The sequence below is a fragment of the Homo sapiens genome, chromosome 7 (genome assembly GCF_000001405.40).
Source record: "Homo sapiens chromosome 7, GRCh38.p14 Primary Assembly".
NCBI lineage: Eukaryota > Metazoa > Chordata > Mammalia > Primates > Hominidae > Homo > Homo sapiens.
Genome location: NC_000007.14, coordinates 99,431,381 through 99,457,862, shown reverse-complemented (window position 1 = coordinate 99,457,862; position 26,482 = coordinate 99,431,381). Strand labels below are relative to the sequence as shown.

The window sequence follows — 26,482 nt, the reverse complement described above, 5'->3', positions numbered from 1 at the left end:
CTGTGGCTCCAGGCAGGGATGGCCCGCATCCTGTGTTTCTGCATCACCCTGGGGCATCAAGGGCTACAGGGTGAGGTGACCCGGCACTGTCTGGAGAGACCTCAGGCAGCACTCACGCCCAGGCTGCAGGGATTGTGGCCCTCCGGCTGAGGCGGCTTCTCTAACAGGAGGCTTAGTGGGTTGGGGGTGATGGGGAAAAGTGAGGGGCTATGGCGGCCCCTCCCTGCTTCCTCTTCATCAGAGCCTCATTGGGGGTGGGATACTGTGCCCCAGAAATAGGTGCCACCAGACATCTGAGCTGAGGTGGAGGACCTGCCTGCTGGCTCCACAGATCAGACTCCCAGACTTGACCAGCTGCTTGCAGGCCTTCTGGGCAGCTGCACTTCCCTTTGTGAGGCTGACATTTGTTGAAAGGGACAAGAAAGCTACGCCGTGATTGCAGCCAGTGTAAAAGGGTTGGCATGAGACCCTTAATTAATGAGACATGGCTTAAAAAACAAGCTTTAATCCATTTCATAAAAATTGTTCTTGCAATTGAACACAGCCAGGCCCACATGCCCAGCAGGTTGCAGGAGACAGTTTCACATTTTCCAGGCTCAGGACAGGGCAGTCTCCTCCACATGCCACAGGTGTCTGAGTGACAGTGTAGACGCCTGATGGGCAGGAGGTAGGCACAGATGATCTGAAGGGGTCATCTATTTAAAAGTCTGCAACTCCAGTTCAACGGACACCTTAAACACTGTCAGGCACGTACCCCAAGAGAAAATTAAGCCCAGAGAAGAAAACCTCAGGCTTGAGAGCCCTGTACCCCTCCTCAACCGCTGCCACCTGGGACCAGGGCCAGCCTGAGGCAATGGGGGCACCTGAATTTGCCCCAAAGGGCTCCCTCATTCAAATCACAGATATAGGCACAGCTTTAGGATTCAGCAGGGCAGGGAGGGAGGAAGCAGGCGTGAGCTGGCCACAGCTTTGAATGACCTACCAGCCCCTGGCGTCACCAAGAACTGGTGTTTAATGAGGGGAATGACCACCGCCACACAGAACTACCTAGCCAAGCCCCTCCCCAGCAGCTGCCTCCCTCCCTGGATGAGGGGAGTTGTGCCGGGAGTCCCAGAAAGGAGGCATCGATGCCCAGCCAAACATGATGTCGACTGCAGGGACCCACAGGACACATGTCCCTTTTTCAAAAAATACTAAGGCAAAATGATAGGAAACTAACAGACGTGGCCCCTCAGAGTGATGAAACCCACGTGTCTGCGGGCCAGCTCGAGCCACAGTCGCGCCAACAAGCGCATGAAACAGTTAAATGCACACTCCCAACAGCGGGGCCCCCGGGCTGCTCGGAGCTGGCTCCAGCTGCTGTCACTGTCCACTGAGAAAGGCCAAGTGCCCTTTGGTGCATCTGTTGGCGTAGTGTCCTTTCTCGCCACACTGGGAACAGCAGGAAGTGGGGGAAGAGGAGAGACAGACAACAACACTGTTCAAATGCAGTTTTCAACTAAGGGAGTGCCCACCAAATCCCAAATCATCCACCAAGTCCCCAGTCGGGACATGACTCTGAAATTCTCAGTGGTACAGAGTTTCTTTCAAATTAGAGGGTGAGGGAGCTCAGGATGGAAAGTGCAGTGGTGCAGAAACTAGCCAGCAACTCCGCAGATGCAAGGGAGAACAAGGCCGCCAGAAGGCGACCTGCTAGCGACCTGCTCTTTCAGGCCCACAACTCTCCCACCTGGACACATGGCCTGCCCAGGGAGGGACTCCCAAGTGGGTAGCAGGACAAAGAGAAGCCCGTGGCACCTGAGCTCCGCCACCCCGTCTGGGGACCAAGCCCTTCTGCACCACAGGCCAGTCACTTACCTCTGAGCCAAGGTCTGGGGTTCCCTGGCAGGAGATGGGAGGGAACAGCATCAGAAGTGTCCCAGCCTCCCCTCCCTTGGGGAGCCACTGCTGGGGACAGAGGGTGGGCTGTACCCAACGTTTTCCCTCGTGGCTGTGACACACCTAAGCTACCTTGGGGACAGGTTTTGATTACAGGATCAGAGAGATGGGACGATGCTTAGACTTGGGTAAGGGGAGCCTGCAGAGCCACATGACAAATCCAGCCCTGACCCTGCCTCATCCCAGTCCTGATTATCCAGGCCCTTCCATAGCTTCTCTTTACTCTATGACTCCTAAAACGGCAGCCTCAAGCACTGAACAAAAGGGTCAGGAGGCAGCTGGGGGCACTGACTCTGTACTGACACCCACCCCTGAGTCCCTGCTGCCCTGAGGGGCTCTGCCCAGTTGGCACCCAACACTCTTGCCAGCTCTATTCCCTGGCTCTGCAATTCCTGTTTTCTTTCTTCTATGTTGGCCAGGATGGTCTCGAACTCCTGACCTTGTGACCTGCTCCCCTCGGCCTCCCAAAGTGCTGGGATTACAGGCGTGAGCCACCGCACCCAGCTGTCCCTGTGTTTTCAACTTTGTCTGATCTGCAGGTGTGACTCTGTATGGAGAGGCTGCCGATGGGCTGTAGGGCTAACATGATGGCTGGGGGAGGGACCACACACCCTGCTCACGGCATCTGGCATGTCTGTCGGACCCCACAGCTGACTCTGGGGAATCCAGGACTTACATGAAGTGTCTCTGACATTAATGGGGTGACAGGCTGTGGACAGGGGCGGTCAGCCCTACCTTTCTAAGGCTCCAGGACTTAAGGGCGCTTGCTGCACAGAAGTGGCCCCGCTTAACAGGCCTGGAGGGTGGCAAGATAACAGCTAAGTCTGCTCTACACAGTGCCCCACTTCCATGCTCTTTTATTTTTTTGGAGACAAAGAGTCTCAGTCTGTTGCCCAGGCTGGAGTGCAGTGGTGCAGTCATAGCTCACTGCAGGCTTGACCTCCTGGGCCCAAGCAATCCTCCCATCTAAGCCTCCCCAGTAGCTGGGACTACAGGCGTGCACCACCACACCCAGCCTGTTTTGTGATTTTTAATCTGGACTCATTCTTCAGAACTCCAGCTGTAGGAATTGTGTGCGCCTTGGGTTGAGAACATACTCTTCAAAGAGTACTGGGGGTTACTCCTGCCACGTGCCAGGGACACACCAATCCTGGGGCGATTTTAGATTAGAAAACTTAGTTTGTAACTTTCCAGCCTTAACCAAGGACATGAATACAGGCCTAGACTCACATAAGGGCCCATTAATAACGTCAAACTATCAAGAGATTTTCCTCCCCTTTCCCCGCTTCCCACAGAGCCAGGAGTGAACAGGACAGTTTTCGAGGAGGTTTCTTGAAGCTCACCCTTCCTGAGTCCCATTTTATGTACTGGGGGAGGGGATGGGGACAGGGGTGCTGTAACCCAGTGTCCTGTTTTCTCGGGTGTGCCCTGCAGGATCCAAGGATGCCCCCAGGACAGCCAGCGGCTCCAAGGGCTCACCCTTCCCTGGATCAGTGTTTCTATTTTGTTCCCGGCCTCTTGGGGGCTTCCCTCACCTGCCTGCAGGCCCCGTCCATTCACTAGGCAGGCGTTCTCACCATCCTTTACCGTGCCTCAGTGCAGTGTGGTAGGAAATAGGACAGTCTCTAGCCCACCACAGTGGATGGTAACTAGACTGTAACTTTATGCTTACAATCAGCAAAAATGAATGTTTTCATTTTTCTCATTTCACCAAACACATGGGGCATGAGGGAATGGCCACTGACGGTAAGGGAAGACCCCACCCTGTCCCCCAGCCCAGGGACTCACCTTGTAACAGGTGACCTGCTCCAGTGGCCGGGGTCCCCGGTTGCCCGCGCTGCTGTTTTGACTCTGCATGACCCCGATGACCTGCGGGGTTCTCTGCTGATTGGGAGAAGAGTTCTGACTCGTTAACTGGATCAAGGAGGACGACCTTTGTAATGGCGGATTGTTACTTTGCTGGAAAGAGTTACACAACACGGTTTTACTGTGGAAAACACGTGCACGCAGACTACCGATGGGGACAGGAAAAAAGAGGGCGGGACTCGTCCCGCAAACGGCAGGAAGCAGGGCTTCCACGACGGCCCACCTCAGGACAGTGGGCAGCAGAGAAACATGTGGTGATGATGGCAGAAGCCACTGCCCGAAAAACACCATGCAGACACACAAAAACGAAAAATAAAATAGAAAACAAAACATCAAAGAGACAAGAGGAGGTCTCTGGGGCAGTGGGGCGAGGGCATGATCAGGCCTTACTTTGGTTTCTGAGGTTCTGGCTTCAGGTCAGGATGAACGCTTGGTTCAGCCAGATGTTTAGCAGCCTACACGGCGAGCAAGTCACAGAAAAACAGTTGGAGCCTGACACACTGAGCTGCGTTCTCGGGCTGAGAGGACCCTCCTCTAGGGAGCCCCACCAGGAGGAGGGCCAGGGCTCCTGGGGTAGGGATTCCACAGCAGGGCCTCCTCCCCACCAGGTGGGCTCCTGGCTCTGGCCCGTAAGTGCAGAACCCGAGCTAGAAAACCCCCAGGTTGGCACGGCTGCACCTACACCTGGAATTCCCGGCTTTCCCCATCAAGAGTTCAATGTGATTGGCGCCTCCACGCAGCTACATCCTCCGCATCCTCTCCTGGCTGTTCAGCCTCTAGCACTGAGCGGGGCTGGTGGGGCTTTGGCAGCCAGTCCAGAGCCCAGCAGGGTAGGAGGTGAGGCATTGGGCTCAGGAGGTGGTTGGGCTTGATGGGCCTGTTGGGAACCCTGCCTGATGCCCGCCCTGCCTTGACGCCAGCCCTTCCTCTTGGCTCAACTCCCGACTCCCATAACCAAACTCAGGGTGCCCTTGGCATTGAGAGGCTGCTGCAGATCCCCATGTGTCTACAGCATTTCCCCCTCTCCTTGTGCTTGAGGGGACGGACCAGCTGCTTGGCTGTGGGGCCCCTCATCTAGAAAACTGGAGCCAGCCGGGCCTGTTCTCGCGCCTCCTCCCAACCTCCACTCCACAGGAGCAGGGGCGGTGCTGGCCAGAGTGGTCAGTTCTGCTGCCACACCTGCTCCTGCCCAGTGGTGTCACCTCAGGCAGGTCCCTCCCTCTGGTAGTCTCGGTTTCCCTATTTGCAAAATAAAGGGTCTGACCCAGGAGCAAGAGCAGCAGACACGGTGCCCAGGCCGCCCTCCATGCCAGCCCCAGGGGCAGACGCTGCTGAACCAGGTTAGCCCCATCTCACAACGGGTGGCCAGTTGCACGGCGCCTGGACTGTGTCTGCTGCTGCGCTTGGCCTTGCTGAGGTTCTAGGGCAAGAGGCCCTCCGTCTCTCGAGGGAGATATACACGGCTTTGCTCCTGACTTTTCTTCGGGAACTTGGGAGACTCCCCTCCTCTCCCAAGTTGTCCAGCGGGGTCTAAGGCAGACCACACCCCTGGGGGACACTGAGGTTCTCGCTGTAGAAAAGGCACTTCCTTCCTACCGAGGAAGGCCAGGCACGGTACCTTTGCTGGAGGCTGTGTCTGCTGCGGCAGTGGGGGCTGCTCGGTGGTTCCCATGGGCAGTTCAAATCGAGGGCTGGTCACCAGCAGCCAGAGGGGATGAGAACAAGAGAAGGAGTGGGGTCAGGGGATGAGAAGAGAAGCCAGGCCATGCTCTTAAATTCCAGCCCTAGGAAAATCACACTCAGCTGCCCCAGCACAAAGTGACTGACACAAGCTGCATGGATGGGGTGGTGGCTGGCACTCAGCTCTGCTCCTGGGAGGCCACAGGAGTGGCGGGGAGAACAGAACTGACTTGCCTGGGCTCAGACCCAACCCTGCCTACACCGAGCTGGGAGACTCATGGCCAGTGCTTCTCGGAAATGACAAAGGCTGTGCTGGTGCGTGCCTGCTGCGCCACAGGAGCTGTACACAGGGAAGCCCCCCTCCCCGCAGGGTCTTACTCTGGCGTCAGCCCCTCCTCCCATCACTTGGTGACGGTCTGCCCCTGAGCCACCTGCAGGTGCCTGCACTCTCATTCAGGGAGTGAGACCCAGTGACAGCACCGGCCACTTCCCTGCAGTGAGAAGCAGGGACCAGGGTTCCCACAGACCTGGAGACTGTTATCCTGCTGTAGGTTCAGCAGTGTGGGCGAGGCAGCCGGGAGGAAGGGAGGCTTGTCTGTGGCCCCAGTGCCACCCCAGGCAGAAGCCCAGGTCCACAACCAAAGTGACAGATGGGCACTGGGCTCCAAGGACAAGAAAATGGAGCCACAAGAGGGGTGCTAACCCCACAGAGCAAGAATTAAAACCCGTCTTCGGAGGCTCACAGACTTGCTATTTATTTATTTTATTTATTTAGAGATGGAGTCTTGCTCTGTCACCCAGGCTGGAGTGCAGTGGCACGATGTTGGCTCACTGCAACTTCCACCTCCTGGGTTCAAGTGATTCTTTTGCCTCAGCCTCCCAAGTAGCTGGGACTACAGGCACGCGCCGCTACACCTGGCTAATTTTTGTATTTTTAGTAGAGACGGGGTTTCACCATATTGGCCAGGCTAGTCTCGAACTCCTGACCTCGTGATCCGCCTTCCTCTGCCTCCCAAAGTTATGGGATTACAGGCGTGAGCCACCACACCCAGCCCAGACTTGCCTTTGACCAGGTGCCACCACCTGCTACCATGTGCCCTTGGCCAGGGACTGAGCCCTGTGCCTCAGTGTGCTGCTGTGTGAAATGGGTGCGTTCTCTCCTACCCTCACTGTTAGACGACTACTTATTCTATGTGAAACCCCAAGCTCAGGGTTTCCTGAGCCTCCACATGGGAGGCTCTGAAATTCTTTCCTTTAGGGCACAGGTTCTTAACTGGAAGTCCCCAAATTCCCTAAATGATATGCAAGGCTACATGTTTGTCTGTATCCCACAGCTTCCATTACATTACCAGATGGCCCATGACCCAAGAAAGATCAGCTCCTGGTCTAGGCAGAGCCACCTGCGGGCTCAGGAAGCATTGGTGGCCATAAGCAGGGATTACTTCCCCATCTCCTGCCCCCACCCTTGGCCCTGGTACTGACATCACCCAGTGACCAAGGCCCAGTTGGCCCAGGGAAGATACGGAGGGCAGCAGGGCCTGGGCCGGGAGCTGGGGTAGAGGGCGGAGCAGCTGGCTACTCACTGCATGAATTTACACGAGGGCCCCTCCGGGCAGAATCCCACGAGGTAATTCACACAGATGACTCTCCGTGTGTGCCGGTGCCTGCAGAGGGGACCTGCAGAGCCAAGTGTCCGGTCACTTAGATGTCCCCTCTACCAGTTAGAGAGCTGGAGCATGGTTTCAAATGCTGGCTGTCCCCCATTCATGGGAGACGGGGCAGGGACCTCACCTCCCAACACTGGCCTCCTTATCAAAAAAGCGGGTGGACCACCACCCACCCAGCATTCTTGGGAGAGGCAAGGGAGATGAGGAGTGTGAGAAAGCCGCTAGCTGCAGAATGTCAGGTTTTGCTGGGACAGGTAGACCAGCTGGCAGCCTCCAGGGTCGTGGGCAGAGAAGGGAGGACTGGCTTCTTGCCCGGGGCCCAGCCCACCCTGGCACCTACCGTGCTTGCAGAAGCCACGGTCATACCAAGGACAGTCCTTGATCTTGGACTCGGGGTCGATGTGCAGGAAGGGACATTCCTTGTTGCTGCACTCCCCTGCAGGGAAACTCAGACGTGAGACCACTGGGAAGGCCGGGGCCAGGCCCACCTTGGCTTCATCCAAGGAAAAGAGGTTCTGGTGTCCAGTTTTGGCCTGACGAGCCCTGAGAGCCAGGGAAGAGTGTTTCTGAGCCCCAGCTTCCTGTGCAGCGGAGCTGTGATGGAAATGCACCCATTGAGACCAGGAAGTTCCATTCTGATTGGCTCTTCACATCTAAGAGCTGGGACAAGGGTAGGGGAAGCACTTGTGGACCTGGCCCTCTCCAAAGCAGCGGACCCCAGGGACCACCAGCACCAAGAACCGCCTTCCTGAGTAGTTGCCCGCTTCCAGGCTCACCTTCTCCAATCCATGTTTACAACTGTGCTCAAAATCCAGAGGAAATGCAAACTCCTTCCCCAGGCCCCTCCGCAGGCTCAGCCTCTGCCACCCCCCAGCCACATGGGTCCCCCTGTACCAGGACCAGCCCCTTCTTAGTCTTCCGCTTCCAGCTCAGGAATCCCCTCATCCTTGACCACTCAGCCTAGAGAAGGTTCTGGTCACGGTTTCCTTCCTTCAAAGCACTTGTCACAAGCAATTTCTTCTCTGTTCGTCTCATGGCCTATCAGCTACCTCTTTCCCTGGACCACAAGAGTGAAGGCTTCACAGGGCAAGGACCTCTTCACCATTGTCCCTCCAGTGCCTGGAAAGGGGGCCCTCAACCCAATGTCTGTGGTGCAGGTGACAGAAGCTGCAGACAGTGCGTCCTGCACCAGGGCTGTCAGCAAGGAAGGAGCGACCCTCAGGCCACTTGTATAGCGGTGCCTTAAGAGCCTGCCCAGGAGAGCCAGCTGCTGCCTCTGGGGACAGATGGGAGGCCACTGCCCCATCCCAGTGCTGCCCCAGTGCTGCTATGGGCAAGGCATCGGGGGGAACATGCTACATTGCACAATGACAGGGACAGCACTTGGGGAGCTGGGAAGCTTGGGTCCTATTTCTTCTCAGCTTATGCCACCTCCACAAAACAAGCCACAGCTCTCATTGATAAGCCAGCAGGCCACGCCTGATGGGATGCTGAAATAATTAATGTCTCCTCCAACAGCAGTGCTTTGAAAGCATGAAGCATACCCTGCACTCCCTGGCTCCCTGCAGGATTCCAGCCTCCTGCCGGGCTCCCTGCACAGGACCAGAGCCAGCCTCACGCTGACCCACAGAGCTGCTTCCCGGGAAACCTGGAAGTGCAGACCTGAGCGGGGACCCTGGGGACTCCTTCCAGCAGGGAGCACATCTCTGCCAGACTCCGTGCCAGCCCCACTGACTCCACCCGGGCTCCCGCTTCTCCACGCAGGCCACTCAGGACAGCTGAGGCCACGCATTCTCTAAGCAGGGCTCAAGGCAAGTTTGTTGCTACCAGAAGACACATCTGAGGCTGTTATTTTGAAGGGCTATTTAGGATGGCTGAGATGTCACCAGGATCATGGCTCCTGGAGAGAAGGAACCAGCTCGGGCCTGAGAGGCAATGCCCACGCTGGAGGGAGAAGTGGGTTTCAGGGAGAAGGTGGACGTGGACAGAAACCAACCACGGACATAATGCAGCCAGCTGCACAACTCGCTGCTTCCGGGTCACCCTCGTTAGCCTCAAATCCGAGTGATTGAAAGAGCTCCAAACACTGAAGCACTCCAAAGTGATGCGCGGGGCCAGGCGTGGTGGCTCACGCCTGTAATCCCAGCACTTTGGGAGGCTGAGGCAGGCAGATCACTCGAGCCCAGGAGTTCAAGACCAGTATGTGAAACATAGCGAGACCCTATGTCTTTAAAAAAAAAAAAAAAAAAAAAGAGATGAGCAGAAAATAGCCACACTGTCCCCTAAAAGCTGGCTGAGGCTGGCAGGTTCTGCCAGAGTTCTCCTCTGAGAATAGAAAGATGGGAAAAGCAGGCAGAGACAGTGTGGGCACTGAGCAGCCAGCGGACCCCTCTGCACCCTGGTTCTCAGCAGAGCCTCCAGGGCTCCAGGCGCCTTACCGAACTTGGAGTAGAAGTAGCACTCGGGCATCTTGGTCATGTCATACTCATGCAGGAACTCACACTGGTCCCCTTTCTTGCATAGGCCACGCAGCCAGTGTTTGCACACAACTGTCTTCTCACCACTGATGTGGCGAAACGGACACATGCCCCCTGCCGGCAAGATAGGGACAGGGTGTCAGCAGAGAGGCCACCCTGAGCCTGGGGGACACGGCCTGAAGAAGCTGAGGTACCTTCACTTCCTAACTCCTGGAGCCACCTGAAGGCATCACGTCCTGGAAAGGGGCAGAGGTCCCCCTCACAGAAGGCAACATGATTTGAGGTACTACACTGACAGACATTTTACATTTTAATAGTTACTCATGGCCGGGCGCAGTGGATCACGCTGGTAATCCCAGCACTTTGGAAGGCCGAGGTGGGCGGATCACAAGGTCAGGAGATCGAGACCATCCTGGCTGGCACGGAGACCATCCTGGCTGTCACGGTGAAATCCTGTCTCTTCTAAAAATACAAAAAATTAGCCGCGCATGGTGGCTGGCGCCTATAGTCCCAGCTACTCGGGAGGCTGAGGCAGGACAACAGCGTGAACCCGGGAGGCGGAGCTTGCAGTGAGCAGAGATCGCGCCACTGCACACCAGCCTGGGCAACAGAGCAAGACACCTTTTCAAAAAAAAAAAAAAAAAAGTTACTCATGATCTCACAGATATTACTGTAAGATGGAGGAATTAAAAGGGGGGAGGTGCTGGGAGGCTGAGGTGGGTAGATCACGAGGTCAGGAGTTCGAGACCAGCCTGGCTGACATGGTGAAACCCCATCTCTACTAAAAGTACAAAAAAAATTAGCCCGGCTTGCGGGTGGGTGCCTGTAATCCCAGCTACTTGGGAGGCTGAGGCTGGAGAATCGCTTGAACCCAGGAGGCGGAGGTTGCAGTGACCGGAGATCACGCCATTGCACTCCAGCCTGGATGACAAGAACAAAACTCTGTCTCAAAAAAAAAAAAAAGAAAAAAAAAAAGAAAGGAACTTGGCCGGGTGTAGGAGCTCAAATCTATGATCCTAGCACTTTGGAAGGCCAAGACAGGAGAATCACTTGAGCCAAGAAGTTCGAGATCAGCCTGAGATCTTGTCTTCACTACATAAATAAATAAGTAAGTAAGTAAGTAAGCCAGCCAAGCAAGCTTGGGGACCAGGCACAGTGGCTCACACCTGCAATCGCAGTAGTTTGGGAGGCCAAGGCAGGTGCATCACCTGAGGTCAGGAGTTCGAGACCAGCCTGGCCAACATAATGAAACCCTGTCTCTACTAAAAATACAAAAAATTAGCTGGGCGTGGTGGTGTGCACCTGTAATCCCAGCTACTCAGGAGGCTGAGGCAGGAGAATTGCTTGAACCCAGGAGGCAGAAGTTGCAGTGAACCAAGATGACACCACTGCACTCCAGCCTGGGCAACAAGAGCAAAACTCCGTTAAAAAAAAAAAAAAAAAAAAAAAAAAAAAAAAAAAAAGCTGGGTATGGTGGTGTACACCTGTAGTCCTGGCTACTGAGGAGGCTGAGGTGGGAGGATCACTTGGGCCCAGGAGGTCAAGCTTGCAGTCAGCTATGACTGTGCCACTGCACTCCAGCCTGGGTGACAGAGTAAGATGCTGCCTCTTTTTTAAAAAAAAAAAAAAAGGAAAGACCAATTTCAGAATTGAGGAAATGTGATGTATACACATGGAGGGACGTGTCCCTTCTGGGACAGGACCTGATGGGACAGAGCCAGCCTCTGGGGATGTGTGAGACTTCTAACGGGTGGCCTGGCAAGACCACCATGGAGGTCCGACCAGAATGAGGCCGCTGTACACTTCTGCTGTCCAATATGGCAGCTGCTAGCCCCATGTGACTACTGAGCACTTGAAATATGACTAGTGTGTCTGAGAATTTTGTTTTAAATGTGATTTGATTTTACTTAAATTTGAACTGCCACATGTGACTAGTGGCTACTGTATTAGTCAACAGAGAGACAGAATGCCCTGTGTTAGGGATGGCTGTGCTAACAGAAGGTGGCTGGTCAGAAGGGCAGAATTACTGAGCAAAGACATGGGAATGAGACCAGAAACTCAGTGGAGGTAATGACGTTCTGACTGGACAGTGTGAAGGTGGCCTGGCTGATCTGCCAGAAAGTCTCCTACCTCAGTGGTAAATGACTACGTTATAGAAGCAAAACTCACCAAAACCATTCATTAAAACCAGCCCTTTGCTCTGATTCTCTGCTCTCTTTTTCAAGCTTCTGATTAATATTTAAGTCTCCTAAATAAATTTTCCTACAGGGAGAAAAATGCCCAGACCATGGAAAGTTTAGGTTGTACCTAGTGATACTTCTTTCTTTCTTTTTTTTTTGTTTTGTTTTGTTAAGACAGAGTCTCACTCTGTTACCTAGGCTGGAGTGCAGTGGTGCGATCTTGGCTCACTACAACCTCTGCCTAACAGGTTCAAGTGATTCTCCTGCCTCAGCCTCCCCAGTAGCTGGGATTACAGACGGGCGTCACCATGCCCAGCTAATTTTTGAATTTTTAGTAGAGACGATGTTTCACCATGTTGGCCAGGCTGGTCTCAAACTCCTGACCTCAGGTGATCCATCCACCTCGGCCTCCCAAAGTGCTGGGATTACAGGCGTAAGCCACCACGCCTGACCCCTAGTGATACTTCTGATGGATTAGCCCGGCCCACATACAATTATTAAAAGAGCACAGCCAGAGGGGTAACAAGATGGCGACCAAGACAGTGGAGCTCCATAAGCTGAAGCTTGCTGAACTAAAGTAAGAATGAATGTCTTGCTCGTGGTTTGGAGACGAGCAAATAAAGCAAGATTTTTTTTTTTTTTGAGATAGAGTCTTGCTCTGTTGCCAGGCTGGAGTGCAATGGCACGATCTCGGCTCACTGCAACCTCTGACTCCCTGGTTCAAGGGATTCTCGCACCTCAGTAGTTTTGTGTAGTCTGTGTTGAGGGCTGGTTATCGAGAACAAGACCCCGCAAGATGGGTTATCATGGGGTGTTTCGATGGGAGGCCACAGAAAACCATGAGCCAGTGGAAACTATGGAATGAGAAAGACCTGGGTTCAGACACTGGGCTCTGCCGCTTATTAACTCTGTGACATTGAGAAAGTTCCTGAGTGTCTCAATGCTGGGGGCTTCTCTCCATGTCACAGGTCAGCTTGTGGCCACGGGGAATGCGAAGTGATAAGGCAGCCTTAGAGCCAGGTTCAGTCCTGCGTTTAGGTTTCAGGTGGAACACCCCATCAGGGTCCTAGCCTGTCCAAACCAGTTTTATCTACAGAGATCGTTAGTCTGTAGAAAGCAATGTAAGCCAGAGACCTGGCGGCCTCCAAGTCTGCCGGGGAGAAGGAGGTGGGAGGGCGCCTCCGGAGGCACATCAGGGAGCCCGGAGTTTCTTACCTTTGCCGCAGGCAGCTTTCAAAAAGAATTCACAGACAGCAGCGCCCGACTCTGTAGAAAGGAGAGAAAAGGAGAGGAATCAAAGAGGTGCAATTTGCTATTGACAATGTCTGAAGACAGTGGGAGGGAACCCTTCTGACCTCTGACCCACCAAGGGTTCAGGGTACAGGAAATAAAGTAGCAAAAATTTGCAAAGCCCAACCAAGCAAGGAAGAAGCTGCTTAAGTTAGTCACGCCCTACAAAATGAGACACATACATTGAGAACAGTCATTACCCAGTGCTTTGAGAGCCTCCTGTATATAAGATCCTTTCAAGGAGTTAAGAGTGGGTGGGGAAAGGAAGGCTGGAGTACGAGATCACAGAAATAATTTTTTTTTTTTTGAGATGGGGTTTCGCTCTAGTTGCCTGGGCTGGAGTGCAATGACGCGATCTTGGCTCACTGCAATCTCTGCCTCCCAGGTTCAAGCAATTCTCTTGCCTCAGCCTCCCAAGTAGCTGGGATTACAGGTGCCTGCCACCACGCTTGGCTAATTTTTGTATTTTTAGTAGAGACGGGGTTTCACCATGTTGGCCAGGCTGGTCTCGAACTCTTGACTTCAGGTGATCCACCCACCTCGGCCTCCCAAAGTGCTGGGATTACAGGCGTTGAGCCAAAGTGCCTGACACACAGGAATAAATTAACGGCCCCTAGCTCACACCTTCCTCCAGGAGGGCGAATTCACAGATACCTTAACATGAGGCAGAGGGAAGGAATGATCTCACAGACGTACAGACAATCAGGGCCTCTGAGGAGGGTCAGGCTTCAAGGAAGAGGCAGTGCCTCTGAGATGCTAGTCCAGGGGGAAGCACATTAAGTGCAGAAACAGAGGACTGCTTTTAATATGCAACATCCGTACACAATTTTTTTTTTCTATTTTTTTGAGACAGAGTCTCGCTCTGTCGCCCAGGCTAGAGTGTGGTGGTGCGATCTTGGCTCACCGTAACCTCTGCCTCCTTGGTTCAAGAGATTCTCCTGCCTCAGCTTCCTGAGTAGCTGGAATTATAGGTGTACCATCATGCCTGCCCAATTTTTTTGTATTTTTAGTAGAGATAGGGTTTTGCCATGTTGGCCAGGCTGGTCCCAAACTACTGGCTTCAAGTGATCCACCTACCTTGGCCTCCCAAAGTGCTGGGATTATAGACGTGAGCCACCACACCTGGCCCACATACAATTATTACAGGCTGGTCTCGAACTCCTGACCTCGTGATCCGCCTGCCTTGGCTTCCCAAAGTGCTAGGATTGAGCCACCGCACCCCACCCCACATACAATTATTAAAAGAGCACACCCGGAGGGGTAACAAGATGGTAACTGAGATGGTGGAGCTCCATAAGCTGAAGCTTGCTAAACTAAAGCAAGAATGTCTTCTTGTGGTTTGGAGACCAAGGGAATAAAGCAAGATCTTATCCACAGACTCCAGGCATATCTTGAAGAACATGCTGAAGAGGAGGCAAATGAAGATGTACTAGGAGATGAAACAGAAGAAGAAAAAAACCCCTTGTCAAATAGGAAGAACCCCCTGAAAAAAACTGTTGATGTGGCAGCAGAGAAGAAAGTGGTGAAAATTACATCTGAAATACCACAGGCTGAGAGAATGCAGAAGAGGGCCGAACAATTCAGTGTACCTGTGAGCTTGGAGAGTAAGAAAGCTGCTCAGGCAGCTAGGTTTGGGATTTCTTCAGTTCCAACAAAAGTCTGTCATCTGAACACACCTATGGTTAACTTGGATAAGCCGAAGGAAAGAGCTCAAAGATTTGGTTTGAATGTCTCTTCAATTTCCAGAAAGTCTGAAGATGATAAGAAACTGAAAAAGAGGAAGGAGCGATTTGGGATTGTCACAAGTTCAGCTGGAACTGGAACCACAGAGGATACAGAGGCAAAGAAGAGGAAAAGAGCAGAGCGCTTTGGCATTGCCTGATGAAAGGTTCTTGATACTTTCTGTTCTCCAGTGTTTTCCACTTCTCTCATTCTTCTTGGTCACATATATACTAAATGCAGTCTTGCCTTGCAATGAGGGAGCAGGTACCCCAGGTAAAACTGTGAACTGCCGCGGCAGTTTGACTTATTGCTGTTTCAGCTTTAAGGTTGTTGTGTTTTTGTTTTTGATTATATTGCTTGTTTTTTGTTTTTTTTTTTTTTTTTTTTGAGACGGAGTCTCGCTGTTGCCCAGGCTGGAGTGCAGTGGTGTGATCTCGGCTCACTGCAGGCTCTGCCCCACCGGGGTTCACACCATTCTCCTGCCTCAGCCTCCCGAGTAGCTGGGACTACAGGCACCCGCCACCTTGCCCAGCTAATTTTTTGTATTTTTAGTAGAGACGGGGTTTCACCGTGTTAGCCAGGATGGTCTCGATCTCCTGACCTCGTGATCCGCCCGCCTCGGCCTCCCAAAGTGCTGGGATTACAGGTGTGAGCCACAACGCCCGGCCGATTATGTTGCTTGTTAATAAAAAAGAAAAGAAAAGAAAAAAAAAGCACAGCCTTTCATTCCCACAGTCGGAGTGTGCTGGAATTCAGTGGGCTCCAGGGACCAGCTGTTCTGATGAGTCCAGGAATTCACCAGCCCCAGCTGCCAGACTAAACTGACCTTGGCATCAGAAACAGTTTCCTCTACAAGTAACCATTTTAGAATTGCTGAAAAACCAATGACAGCATCTCTGAAGCCCACTTAACATGCCTCCCCTTGCTAAATCACAAAAGATTCCTTGGCTTCTTGGAAGCAAGCAGATTTTGCTAGGACACAGCTGAGGTTATAGAACTTATGGCTGTCACAGGGAGGTCACTCCATTTGCATCTCAAAAAGTCTGAAAGTGGCCAGGTGCGGTGACTCACGTCTGTAATCCTAGCACTTTGGGAGGCTGAGGCGGGTGGATCACTTGACATCAGGAGTTCAAGACCAGCCTGGCCAATATGGTGAAACCCCATCTCTACTAAAAATGCAAAAATTAGTCAGACATGGTGGCACGTGCCTGTAATCCCAGCTACCTGGGAGGCTGAGGCAGGAGAATCACTTGAACCCAGAGGCAGAGGTTGCAGTGAGCCAAGATCGCGTCACTGTGCTCCAGCCTGGGTAACAGAGCAAGACTCTGTCTCAAAAAAAAAGAAAAAAAAAATTCTGAAAGTACTTCTGGTCTCTCTCTTTAGAGGTTAGAGTTGCTTCTGCTCAGAAATACACAGTTCTGGGAACTGAGTCTCATGTGGATAGGATGAGTATGCCTTATGGGCAAAGTGACAGTTCTTCCCAAAACTCAGATGGGGATGAAGAGGAGGGATGGGTGAGGAAGGGCTGTGGCCTCACTAGGCTTTAACTGAACAGGATATGGACAAGCAGCGAGTGTGGAGGGTGCCTACCGACTCTGAAGCCCTGGCTGGAGCAACACCCATGGCTAGGTGTGTCCCGGGCCTCAGGAACAGGTATGTGGGCCCCTCGCCACTGTACCTCCCCTCACAGGCTTGTGGATGTGTCAGATGGCAGAAGGGTGGGAGGAAAAGAGCTGCCCTGCGTGGGTGGTTCCATGGTCTCAAGCTAGTGCCATCAAGACAGGAAAAGGCCGGCTGGGCACAGTGGCTTATGCCCGTAATCCCAGCACTTTGGGAGGCCGAGGCAGGTGGATCATTTAAGGTCAGGAGTTCAAGACCAGCCTGGCCAACATGGTGAAACCTCATCTCTACTAAAAATACAAAAATTAGTTGGGCGTGGTGGTGGGCGCCTATAATCCCAGCTACTCAGGAGGCCAAGGCAGCAGAACTGCTTGAACCTGGGAGGTGGAGGTTGCAGTGAGCCGAGATCGCACCATTGCACTCCAGCCTGGGTGACAAAAGCAAAACTCTGTCTCAAAAAAAAAAAAAAAAAAAAGACAGGAAAAGGCCACATGTGCAGGGATGATCACAAGAGTCGAGGGGTAGGTAAGAGGGGGTGTGTGTGTGTGAATTTGAGCAGCTGCTTTTTAGGGAGTGTACAGTGGTGATGGTGTTTGTGCCTGTGTCAAATAGGGTGGTCTGATGATGTCTCCTTATAAGCACTATCTTGTCTTCTTGAAGACTTAATTAATTTCCAATGAAACTATCTTGTACAGAACTATCACCATGTAAAGTTGTGGGACAGGCAGGAAAAAAAAAAAAAAAAAAATATATATATATATATATATGCCAGGTGCAGTGGCTCATGCCTATAATCCCAGTACTTCCGAAGGCCGAGGTAAAAGGATCACTTGAGCCCAGGAGTTCAAGACCAACCCTGGGAAACATGATGAAATAGTGTCTCTACCAAGAAATACACACAAAAAAATTTGCCAGGCGTGTTGGTGCATGCCTGTGGTCCCAGCTACTTGGGAGACTGAGGTGGGAGGATTGCTGGAGCCTGGGAAGTCGAGGCTGCATTGAGCCATGATTGCGTCACTGCACCCAGCCTGGGCGACAGAGGGGCCCCTGTCTCAAAAGCAAACAAACAACAACAACAAAAACACATAAAGGGACAGACTCAGAGGTCACATGTGCATGAGAAGGTGTGACCGCCTGAGGGGAGTGAGGCTGCTGGGAGCGGTGGGAGACCCCGCTGGTAGTTGTGGGCGACAGCACACAACACTGGAGAGCTTGCCCGCCTCTGCTATGCACTGAGTGATTGTCAGCAAGTCCCTTCCCCCGCTTGGGTCTCAGTTTCCCCATCTGTGGATTGAACTCAGTGACTTCCACAAGCCCCCAAACTTTAAGGTTATAGCATTAGATTTCAAGTATGTCCAGATAGGAAAGAAGACACAAAGAAAACTACTGGTTTCTTTTAAAGTACAAGATATCCCACCGAGTAGGAGGTGGGAAGCCAGGAGCCACCATATGAAGGGGAGCAGTGAAGGGAGTTCAGGCCAAGGGTCCACACCAGCTGCTGGGTGTGATGAATAACTCAGAGTTGGGGTCCAGAAAAAAGTAGGGACGGGCCAAAAACTAGGGATGAGCTCCCAGGAGAGTGAGTCCTAGAAGGGAGTTTGAGAGTCTAGCTGGGGTCTCCTACAGAAAGGTGGTCCTTCCCTCAGCACATCTCCTCCAACCGCCTAGTTTTGATGAAATCAAGAAGAGACGCTCAACGTAGCGGGTGTGATATCCTAGTACTCTCCTGCAGTTGGGAGAGTGTTGAGGGAGAGTTCCAATCCAGGATAACCCACCCTTATTCAAGAATTAAGCGAACAGACAAGGTCTACCCTCCTACAGATTACCTTTGAACAGCCGCAGAGGGCCAAAGATCCGAGGCAGTGAACTCCTGAGTCCGAGTGAGGGTAAAAGGAGTCCCCAGACGGTGGAAATGGGGGCCTGGGAGTCAGGAGTCCTGAAACCAAGGGGAGCGTCCCGGGATCCAGAAGAGGAGGTCTCAGGATGGAGTGGGAAGAGTCTCGGGACCACAGATGAGGGAGTTCGGTAACTAAAGGGGAGGATCCCAGGACCCGGAGGAGGTGGGAGGGACTCTCAAGACCTAGAGGGAGGAGTCCTGCGACCAAAGGGGAGGGGTCCCAGGATCCAGAGGAAGCCGGGGGAGGTCTCAGGACCGAGGCGAGGGAGTCCCGGGATCACAGAGGAGCGGGTCCCGGGTTCGAGTCGCTCTTGCCCTCCCGCCCGGGCCCCGCGCTCACTGTCCATGCCGGGGAAGGGCAGCGGCTGCGCCCCCAGCTGCTGCTCCACCGCGATCTCCAAGTCAAACTTGATGTGGTCCACGCTGGCGATGATTTCCTGCATGGCGGCGGCGGCGGCCCCACCGGCCCGGCTCCCCCTCGGTCTCCTGCAGCCTTCTCGCCTTTACCCGCCGCCGGCCCCGCCGCACACACTCCTCCTTCGCTTCGCCTCGCCGCCGCCGCCGCCGCCGCCCGAGGGATGCCGGGAGCGCCCGGAGCCCGCGCCGGCCCTTGCGCCTGTCCAGGCACTGCCAATCGAGACTCCGCCGTTCCGCTAGTCCCAGCTAGCCGCCAGCCGAACACCGGCCTCGCCAGAAACCTGAAACCAGCCGCGTGAGTCGGCGACGCGGATTGCGCCTGCGCGCTTGGGGAGAGGGGGACCCGAGGAAGAGACTGGTTCGCCGCGGGGACCGGGCAGGGCTCCCCGTCGGAGTGCACTGCGCCGGACACTTCAAGTGAGTTCCTGTGTGATCCTCGCAGGAGCCCCGGGACCCGGGCCAAGACACGCCAGAGGGGAAGGAAGTGCCCGAGCCGGGATTGGAGCCGGGGGCGTCTGAGGAGGGAAACTGAGGCTGCAGAAGTCCGTGTGGAGAGGGGTCGGCGTTGGCCTGAGGGTCCGGGTGGGCCTCTGAGGAGGGGCGGGTCTCTCCGAGGAAGGACGGCCGCAGCGTGTCTCTAATTCAGGGTTTTTTCTCGCTCTGTGGCCCAGGCTGGAGTACAGGGGTACGATCATAGCTCACTGCAGTCAACTTCTCAGACTCAAGCGATCCTCCCACCTCAGCCTCCCGAGTAGCTGGAACTACAGACGCTGCACCACCACACTTGGCTAATTTTTAAAATTTTATTTTTAATTTTTGTAGAGACGGCGGGGTTGGGGGGGCGGGTGGCGGGTCTTGCTATGTTGCCCAGGCTGGTCTCGAACTCCTGGCCCCAAGCCCAAAGCGATCCTCCTGCCTGGGCCTCCCAAAGTGCTGGAATTGCAGGCATGAGCCACTATACAGCCTAATTCAGGGTTTTTTTTAACCAGGGTGGGGTAATGAGCTTGTGTAGGAACAAAATGCACCCCTATTTTTCTCTATGTGAAGTATAGCATTTCCTTTCCTGATTGCTGGAGCAGCCTTAGCAGTGCCTGAAACTGTGAGGGTGAGTGTAAATGATAGTTCCAGATAACAGTTTGTGCAGGGCCAGGCATGGTGGCTCACACCTGTAACCTCAGCACTTTGGGAGTCTGAGGCGAGAGGATCACGTGAGGTCAGGAGTTCGAGACCAGCCTGGACAGGATGGCAAAACCCCGTCCCTACTGAAAATATAAAAATTGGCCTGGAGTAGTGGCGCGTTCCTGTAATCCCAGCTACTTGGGAGGCTGAGGCATGAGCATGGCTTAAACCCGGGAGGCAGAGGTTGCATTGAGCCGAGATTGTACCACCCCACTCCAGCCTGGTGACAGAGTGAGACGCAAAAAAACCCAGTTTGTGCAGCAACTACAAGGTGGTATCTTAAGCTGTCACTTACATTTATTACTGCTTTGAAATTATGATAGAGTCGGCCGGGCGCGGTGGCTCACGGCTGTAATCCCAGCACTTCGGGAGGCCGAGGCGGGCGGATCACAAGGTCAAAAGATCCAGACCATCCTGGCCAACATGGTGAAACCCTGTCTCTACTAAAAATACAAAAATTAGCTGGGCTTGGTGGCATGCGTCTGTAGTCCCAGCTCCAGGGGAGGCTGAGGCAGGAGAATCGCTTGAATCCGGGAGGCGGAAATTGCAGTGAGCCGAGGTCACGCCTGAGGACAGAGTGAGAGACTGTCTCAAAAAAAAAAAAAGAAAAGAAAAGAAATTATGATAGGGTCTTGTTATTTCATGCATTGAAAATAAGCATCTATACTAGTATAGCAGAAATTTGTTTTTAAAGCATTTTGATGCCATTTCAATATCATTGCTTTTTGTTTTGTAATTCTGTGTATTGTAATTAATGCACGTAAGGCAGGGCATGGAGGCTTACGCCTGCAATCCCAACACTTTGGGAGGCCAAGGCTGGAGGATTGCTTGAGGCCAGGAGTTCTAGACCAGCCTGGCAACATAGGGAGACTCCATCTCTACAAAAAAATACAAAAAATTAGACAGGTATGGTGGTGTGCACCAGTAGTGCTAGTTAATTGAGAGGCTGAGGTAGGAGGATCACTTGAGCCCAGGAGTTGGAGGTTGCAGTGATTGTGCATTTGCACTCCACTGTGCCATCGCACTCCAGCCTGGGCAACATGAAGACCCCATTCCACAAAAAAGAAAATTACATAAACACCATGCTTGTAAGAAGGAGTGGCAGGGCTTGCCAGATGCAGAATGATAAAGGCCCCCTGCACTAGTTTCACAAAAGGTGCTGGTCAGGACAATCATCAATGCGTTACATGGACCTGAGTTCAAAGCCAGCCCAGCCCAAGCTGGCCAGTCTCACCCACTGCACTGCTGCAGGACCCCAGCAAGTCTCTCCCCTTGCTGGGCCTAGTTTTTTGTTTGTTGTTGTTGTTGTTGTTTTGAGATGGAGTCTTGCTCTGTCGCTCAGGCTGGAGTGCAATGGCGCGATCTTGGCTCACTGCAACCTCTGCCTCCCACGTTCAAGTGATTCTCCTGCCTCAGCCTCCCAAGTAGCTGGGATTACAGGGGCACGCTGTCACGCCCAGCTAATTTTTATATTTTCGGCAGAGATAGGGTTCACCACGTCAGGCTGGTCTCGAACTCCTGACCTGAGGGGATCCACCCACCTTGGCCTCCCAAAGTGCTGGGATTACAGGCGTGAGCCACCGCTCCTGACCTACTGGGCCTAGTTTTTAATCTGTTCAATCTGCCATCACTTGTAAGACTTTTCCAATCGCAACCTTCTAATATAACCAGACTCTAAAATACTTTAGGCTGGGCATGGTGGCTCATTGCTGTAATCCCAGTGCTTTGGGAGGTCGAGGCGAGAGGATTGCTTGAGTCCAGGAGTTCAAGACCAGCCTGGGCACATAGCAAGACCCTGTCTCTACCAAAAAATAAAATTAGCCAGGCATAGTGGCTCACACCTGTAGTTCCAGCTACTCGGGAGGCTGAAATGGGAGGATCGCTTGAGCACAGGAGGGTGGGGCTGCAGTGAGCTATGTCTGACCTGAACCTAGGCTTTCTAACCTCTGGGCCCATACTTCTTATTTTATTTATTATTATTATTTTTTTTTTTTTCTGAGACAGAGTCTCACTGTCACTCAGGCTGGAGTGCAGTGGCGCGATCTCAGCTCACTGCAAGCTCCGTCTCCTGGGTTCAAGCGATTCTCCTACCTCAGTCTCCTCAGTAGCTGGGATTAGACGTGTAGCACCACACCCAGCTCATGTTTTTTGTATTTTTAGTAGAGATGGGGTGTCGCCAGGCTGGTCTTGAACTGATCTGCCCGCCTCGGCCTCCCAAAGTGCTGGGAGTGCAGGCATGAGCCACCGCCCCTGGCCTGTTCTTTTTCTTTCTTTCTTTTCTTTTTTTTTTCGAGACAGAGTCTCACTCTGTCACCCAGGTTGGAGTATGGTGGCGCAATCTCAGCTCACTGCAAGCTCCATCTCCCAGGTTCAGGTGATTCTCCTGCCTCAGCCTCCTGAGTAGCTGGGATTACAGGCGCACAGCACCAAGCCTGGCTAATTTTTGTATTTTTCATAGAGACGGGGTTTCACCATGTTGTCCAGGCTGGTCTCAAACTCCTGACCTCAAGTGATATGCCAGCCTCGACCTCCCAAAGTGCTGGGATTACAGGCATGAGCCACCGCGCCTGGCCTGGGCCCATACTTGTAACCACTTCTTTCTTTCTGCCTTTTGTTACTAGGAACTGAGTTGACTCTCTTATTTTTCCTGATATATTCCAGGCCCTGGAGGGACAGGAAAGCCAGAAATGGACTTCGTGAGACTCGCTCGACTGTTCGCCAGGGCCCGCCCCATGGGACTGTTCATCCTGCAACACCTGGACCCCTGTAGAGCCAGGTGGGCAGGAGGCAGGGAGGGGCTGATGCGGCCAATGTGGGCGCCCTTCAGCAGCTCCTCCTCTCAGCTGCCCCTCGGCCAGGAGCGTCAGGAAAACACGGGCAGCCTGGGCTCTGACCCGAGCCACTCCAACTCCACGGCCACGCAGGAAGAAGACGAGGAGGAGGAGGAGAGTTTTGGGACCCTCTCTGACAAATACTCCTCCCGGAGACTATTCCGCAAATCCGCAGCCCAGTTCCATAACCTGCGGTTTGGGGAACGGAGAGATGAGCAAATGGAACCGGAGCCCAAATTATGGCGAGGCCGGAGAAACACCCCGTACTGGTACTTCTTGCAGTGCAAACACCTGATCAAGGAAGGGAAGGTAAGGGGCACTTTGGGTTCTGTGGCTCCTGGCTTCTTTCCCCTGGTGGCTCAGTGTTTTGCAAGGGGTCACCTGACTTTCCCAGCCTCTAAGTTTTGGGCCTACCCTGTTGAACTGCCAGCCTTATGGCTGTAAGTATCGCAACCCTTTGCCATCCTCCACCGCAGTTTTATTTTATTGTATTTTTTTTTTTTTGTAGAGACGGAGGTTGCACTGAGCTGATCTTACCACTAGACTCCAGCCTGAGTCACAGAACAAGAGTCTGTCTCAAAAAAAAAAAAAGGAAAAAGAAAAGTGAATCCTCCACACCCTTCTAGCACTCCCTGCTTTAGGTTTTTTTTATAACAGGATCTCACTCTGTCGCCCAGGCTGGAGTGCAGTGGCACGATCTTGGCTCACTGCAGCCTCCGCCTCCTGGGGAATTCAAGCAATTCTCCCATCTCAACATCCTGAGTAGCTGGGATTACAGGCATGTGCCACCACACCTGGCCAATTTTTGTATTTTTAGTAGAGATGGGGTTTCTCCATGATGGCCAGGCTGGTCTCAAACTCCAGACCTCAGGTGATCCGCCCGCCTTGGTCTCCCGAAATGCTGGGACTACAAACATGAGCCATTACACCTGGCCGCTGCTTTAGTTTTGTTCGTACCACCTGTCATCACTTGATATACTGTGTGTCTTTCTTAATTATCCCATTTCATGTCTGTCTGGTTTGTTTTTTTGTTTTTTTTTTTTTTTTGAGATGGAGTCTTGTACCGTCACCCAGGCTGGAGTGCAGTGGTGAAATCTTGGCTCACCGTAGCCTCTGCCTCCCGGGTTCAAGCAATTCTTCTGCCTTAGCCTTCCAAGTAGCTGGGATTACAGGTGTGTGCCACCATGCCTGGCTAATTTTTGTATTTTTAGTAGAGACGGGGTTTCACCATGTTGGCCAGGCTGGTCTCGAATTCCTGACCTTGTGATCTGCCCGCCTCAGCCTCCCAAAGTGCTGGGATTACAGGCGTGAGCCACTGCGCCTGGCCTCATGTCTGACTTTCCACACCAAAACATGAGCTCCAAGAAGGAGCTCTCTCTTGTTCCCAGCCGTATATGCAGTGGATAGACCTTGTCTGGCTCATTGAAGCACTCAGTAATTATTGTTTGAATGAACAGATGAAAATAATGAAGGAATAAAGGAATGAACTGAGGCTTCACCGGGGAAATGGTGTGAGGTGAGGGATGGGGCAGAAACAGCTGGGGGCCCAGGGGGTTTGCAGTCACCCAGGGCCGCCGTTCTCCACCATTTTAGGAGGGTCCCTCAGCTTCAACCTCCCTCTCTCTGCTGAGGGTCTCTGGGGCCATTCTGAGCCCCTGCCCTGTTGCCTCTTCCCTGCAGCTGGTTGAAGCCCTGGACCTGTTTGAGAGGCAGATGCTGAAGGAGGAGCGATTGCAGCCCATGGAGAGCAACTACACGGTGCTGATTGGGGGCTGCGGGCGGGTTGGCTACCTGAAGAAGGCCTTCAACCTCTACAACCAGGTGCATGTGGGCGCAGGGCAGCCGGGGTGAGGCTCTGAAAAGCTGGGGGCGGATCCCAAGTGTGCCACTTGCTAGTGCTTTACACTGGGCAGGTGACTTCACCTCCCTGGCCTCAGAGTCATCTCCTTAAAATGGTGGTGATTGTGGGTGATAAACGAGATGACATGGAAAGCCCTTTAGCACCTGCCTGGACTGTGGCGGTCCCCATGTTCCCTTTCTTTTCCCTTCAAAAAAAAACAGAGGGAGCCTCACTCTGTCACCTAGGCTGGAGTGCAGTCATAGCTCACTGCAGCCTCCAACTCCTTGGCTCAAGAGTTCCTCCTGCCTCAGCCTCGCCAGTAGCTGTGAGCACAGGTGTGTAGCACCATATCTGGCTAATTTTTAAGTTTTTTGTAGAGGTGGGATTGTGCTGCTTTGTCTAGGCTGGTCTCTAACCCCTGGCCATCCGCCTCAGCCTCCCAAAGTGCTGGGATTACAGGTCACAGCCCAGCCACCGCATCTGCTCCTCTGAAGGGGGCCAGCCCCTCCACACCTGTGGGCGTTTCTCGTCAGGTGGGACGAGAGACTGAGAAAAGAAATAAGACACAGAGACAAAGTATAGAGAAAGAACAGTGGTCCCCTGGGACCGGTGCTCAGCATACGCTCAGCATCCCGCATACGGAGGACCTGCGCATACGGAGGACCTGCGCTGCGCAGGCACTGGTCTCTTGAGTTCCCTCAGTATTTATTGATCACTATCTCTACCATCTCGGAGAGGGGGATGTGGCAGGACGATAGGGTAATGGGGAGAGGGTCAGCAGGAAAATATGTGAGCAAAGGTCTCTGTGTCATAAATAAGTTTAAGGAAGGGTGCTGTGCTTTGATGTGCACCTACACAACATCTCGTGCATCAAAGAGCAGTATTGTCTCCAGCAGGTCCCACCTCCAGCCCTGAGGCGGTTTTCGCCTATCTCAGTAAATAGAACACACAATCTGGTTTTACACCCAAGACATTCCATTCCCAGGGACGAGCAGGAGACAGATGCCTTCCTCTTATCTCAACTGCAAAGAGGCCTTCCTCTTTCACTAACCCTCCTCAGCACAGACCCTTTATGGGCGTCGGGCTGGGGGACAGGCTGGGAGACAGTCAGGTCTTTCCCTTCCCACGAGGCCATATCTCAGGCTATCACATGGGGAGAAACCTTGGACAATACCTGGCTTTCCTGGGCAGAGGTCCCTGCGGCCTTCCGCAGTGTATTGTGTCCCTGGGTACTCGAGATTGGAGAATGGCGATGACTTTTATCAAGCCTACTGCCTTCAAGCACTTTTTTAACAAAGCACACCCTGCACAGCCCTAAATCCATTAAACCTTGAGTCAACACAGCTCATGTCTCTGCAAGCACAGGGTTGGGGCTAGGGTTACAGTTTAACAGCATCTCAAGGCAGAAGAATTTCTCTTAGTACAGAACAAAATGGAGTTTCTTGTGTCTACTTCTTTCTACATAGACACAGTAACAGTCTGATCTCTCTTTCTTTTTCCTACAGTCCTTTTTTTTTGGAGACAGAGTCTCGCTCTGTCGCCCAGGCTGGAGTGCAGTGGTGCGACCTCGGCTCACTGGAACCTCCGCCTCCTGGGCTCGAGCAGTTCTCATACCTCAGCCTCCCGAGTAGCTGGGACTACAGGCGCACATGCCACCATGCCTGGCTCATTTTGTTTGTATTTTTAGTAGAGACAGCATTTCACCATGTTGGCCAGGCTGGTCTCTTGACCTCAAGTGGTCCACCCGCCTTGGCCTCCCAAAGTGCTAGAATTACAGGCGTGAGCCACCGCACCCAGCCCATTACATCTATTTTAAAAAACTATTATTTTTGGCCAGGTGCGGTGGCTCACACCTGTAATCCCACCATTTTGGGAGCC

The 26,482-nt window shown here is 53.1% G+C and overlaps 3 protein-coding genes and 1 pseudogene across 15 annotated transcripts in view, besides 6 other annotated features; 3 read left to right on the top strand and 1 right to left on the bottom strand.

Moving 5' to 3' along the window:
- Positions 1-26,482, top strand: part of ATP5MF-PTCD1 (ATP5MF-PTCD1 readthrough) — a 49,429-nt gene that overhangs the window by 8,305 nt on the left and 14,642 nt on the right. Inside the window, exons 3-4 of the mRNA NM_001198879.2 lie at positions 22,595-23,073; positions 24,445-24,585. Of these exons, the coding sequence (NP_001185808.1) occupies positions 22,595-23,073; positions 24,445-24,585 (620 nt within the window). The remainder of the gene's footprint in view (positions 1-22,594; positions 23,074-24,444; positions 24,586-26,482) is intronic.
- On the bottom strand, positions 490-18,920 carry CPSF4 (cleavage and polyadenylation specific factor 4). Of its 13 annotated transcripts, none has more exons than XM_011515755.4 (8): positions 18,678-18,920; positions 13,024-13,074; positions 9,590-9,742; positions 7,492-7,587; positions 7,068-7,161; positions 5,423-5,510; positions 3,727-3,897; positions 490-1,431 (listed from the first exon to the last, which is right to left on the bottom strand). In XM_011515755.4, exons 1-8 carry the CDS (start codon positions 18,778-18,780, stop codon positions 1,363-1,365), a joined length of 825 nt encoding a protein of 274 aa, XP_011514057.1. In that variant the 5' UTR covers positions 18,781-18,920; the 3' UTR covers positions 490-1,362. The 13 variants fall into 13 exon arrangements, with proteins under 13 accessions (XP_011514057.1, XP_011514058.1, XP_011514059.1 ...); XM_011515756.4 differs by having other exon boundaries at positions 3,727-3,822; XM_011515757.3 differs by having other exon boundaries at positions 3,727-3,819.
- Positions 1,339-2,141: an enhancer, noted in NCBI's record as "H3K4me1 hESC enhancer chr7:99053345-99054147 (GRCh37/hg19 assembly coordinates)". NCBI's record gives its function as "activates a minimal SCP1, AML or CMV promoter by ChIP-STARR-seq in naive H9 embryonic stem cells {active_cell/tissue: H9 hESC(naive)}" and the evidence as "EXISTENCE:reporter gene assay evidence [ECO:0000049][PMID:30033119]".
- Positions 5,256-5,816: an enhancer, noted in NCBI's record as "H3K4me1 hESC enhancer chr7:99049670-99050230 (GRCh37/hg19 assembly coordinates)". NCBI's record gives its function as "activates a minimal SCP1, AML or CMV promoter by ChIP-STARR-seq in naive H9 embryonic stem cells {active_cell/tissue: H9 hESC(naive)}" and the evidence as "EXISTENCE:reporter gene assay evidence [ECO:0000049][PMID:30033119]".
- On the top strand, positions 14,354-15,528 carry LOC100131859 (SAP domain containing ribonucleoprotein pseudogene; annotated as a pseudogene).
- Positions 18,626-18,925: a silencer, noted in NCBI's record as "silent region_18410". NCBI's record gives its function as "represses an Ori minimal core promoter by ATAC-STARR-seq in GM12878 lymphoblastoid cells {active_cell/tissue: GM12878}" and the evidence as "EXISTENCE:reporter gene assay evidence [ECO:0000049][PMID:35858748]".
- Positions 19,065-26,482, top strand: part of PTCD1 (pentatricopeptide repeat domain 1) — a 22,060-nt gene continuing 14,642 nt past the window's right edge. Inside the window, exons 1-3 of the mRNA NM_015545.4 lie at positions 19,065-19,171; positions 22,595-23,073; positions 24,445-24,585. Coding sequence (NP_056360.2) covers positions 22,621-23,073; positions 24,445-24,585 — 594 coding nt within the window. The 5' untranslated portion in view covers positions 19,065-19,171; positions 22,595-22,620. The remainder of the gene's footprint in view (positions 19,172-22,594; positions 23,074-24,444; positions 24,586-26,482) is intronic.
- Positions 19,186-19,475: an enhancer, noted in NCBI's record as "active region_26315". NCBI's record gives its function as "activates an Ori minimal core promoter by ATAC-STARR-seq in GM12878 lymphoblastoid cells {active_cell/tissue: GM12878}" and the evidence as "EXISTENCE:reporter gene assay evidence [ECO:0000049][PMID:35858748]".
- Positions 20,772-21,297: an enhancer, noted in NCBI's record as "H3K4me1 hESC enhancer chr7:99034189-99034714 (GRCh37/hg19 assembly coordinates)". NCBI's record gives its function as "activates a minimal SCP1, AML or CMV promoter by ChIP-STARR-seq in naive H9 embryonic stem cells {active_cell/tissue: H9 hESC(naive)}" and the evidence as "EXISTENCE:reporter gene assay evidence [ECO:0000049][PMID:30033119]".
- Positions 22,424-22,571: a silencer, noted in NCBI's record as "fragment chr7:99032915-99033062 (GRCh37/hg19 assembly coordinates)". NCBI's record gives its function as "represses an EF-1alpha promoter that drives an FKBP-Casp9 reporter gene in an ReSE screen in phorbol 12-myristate 13-acetate-treated (for megakaryocytic differentiation) K562 erythroleukemia cells {active_cell/tissue: K562(+PMA)}" and the evidence as "EXISTENCE:reporter gene assay evidence [ECO:0000049][PMID:32094911]".

Coding starts and splice junctions, on each gene's coding strand:
- CPSF4 (XM_011515755.4), bottom strand. CDS start 18,780: ATGCAGGAAATCATCGCCAGCGTGGACCACATCAAGTTTGACTTGGAG. Junction 5,511..7,067: donor CCCTCGTGTAAATTCATGCA/GTGAGTAGCCAG, acceptor TCATCCCCTCTG/GCTGCTGGTGACCAGCCCTC. Junction 1,432..3,726: donor AGCAGGTCACCTGTTACAAG/GTGAGTCCCTGG, acceptor TGCTGTTCCCAG/TGTGGCGAGAAAGGACACTA.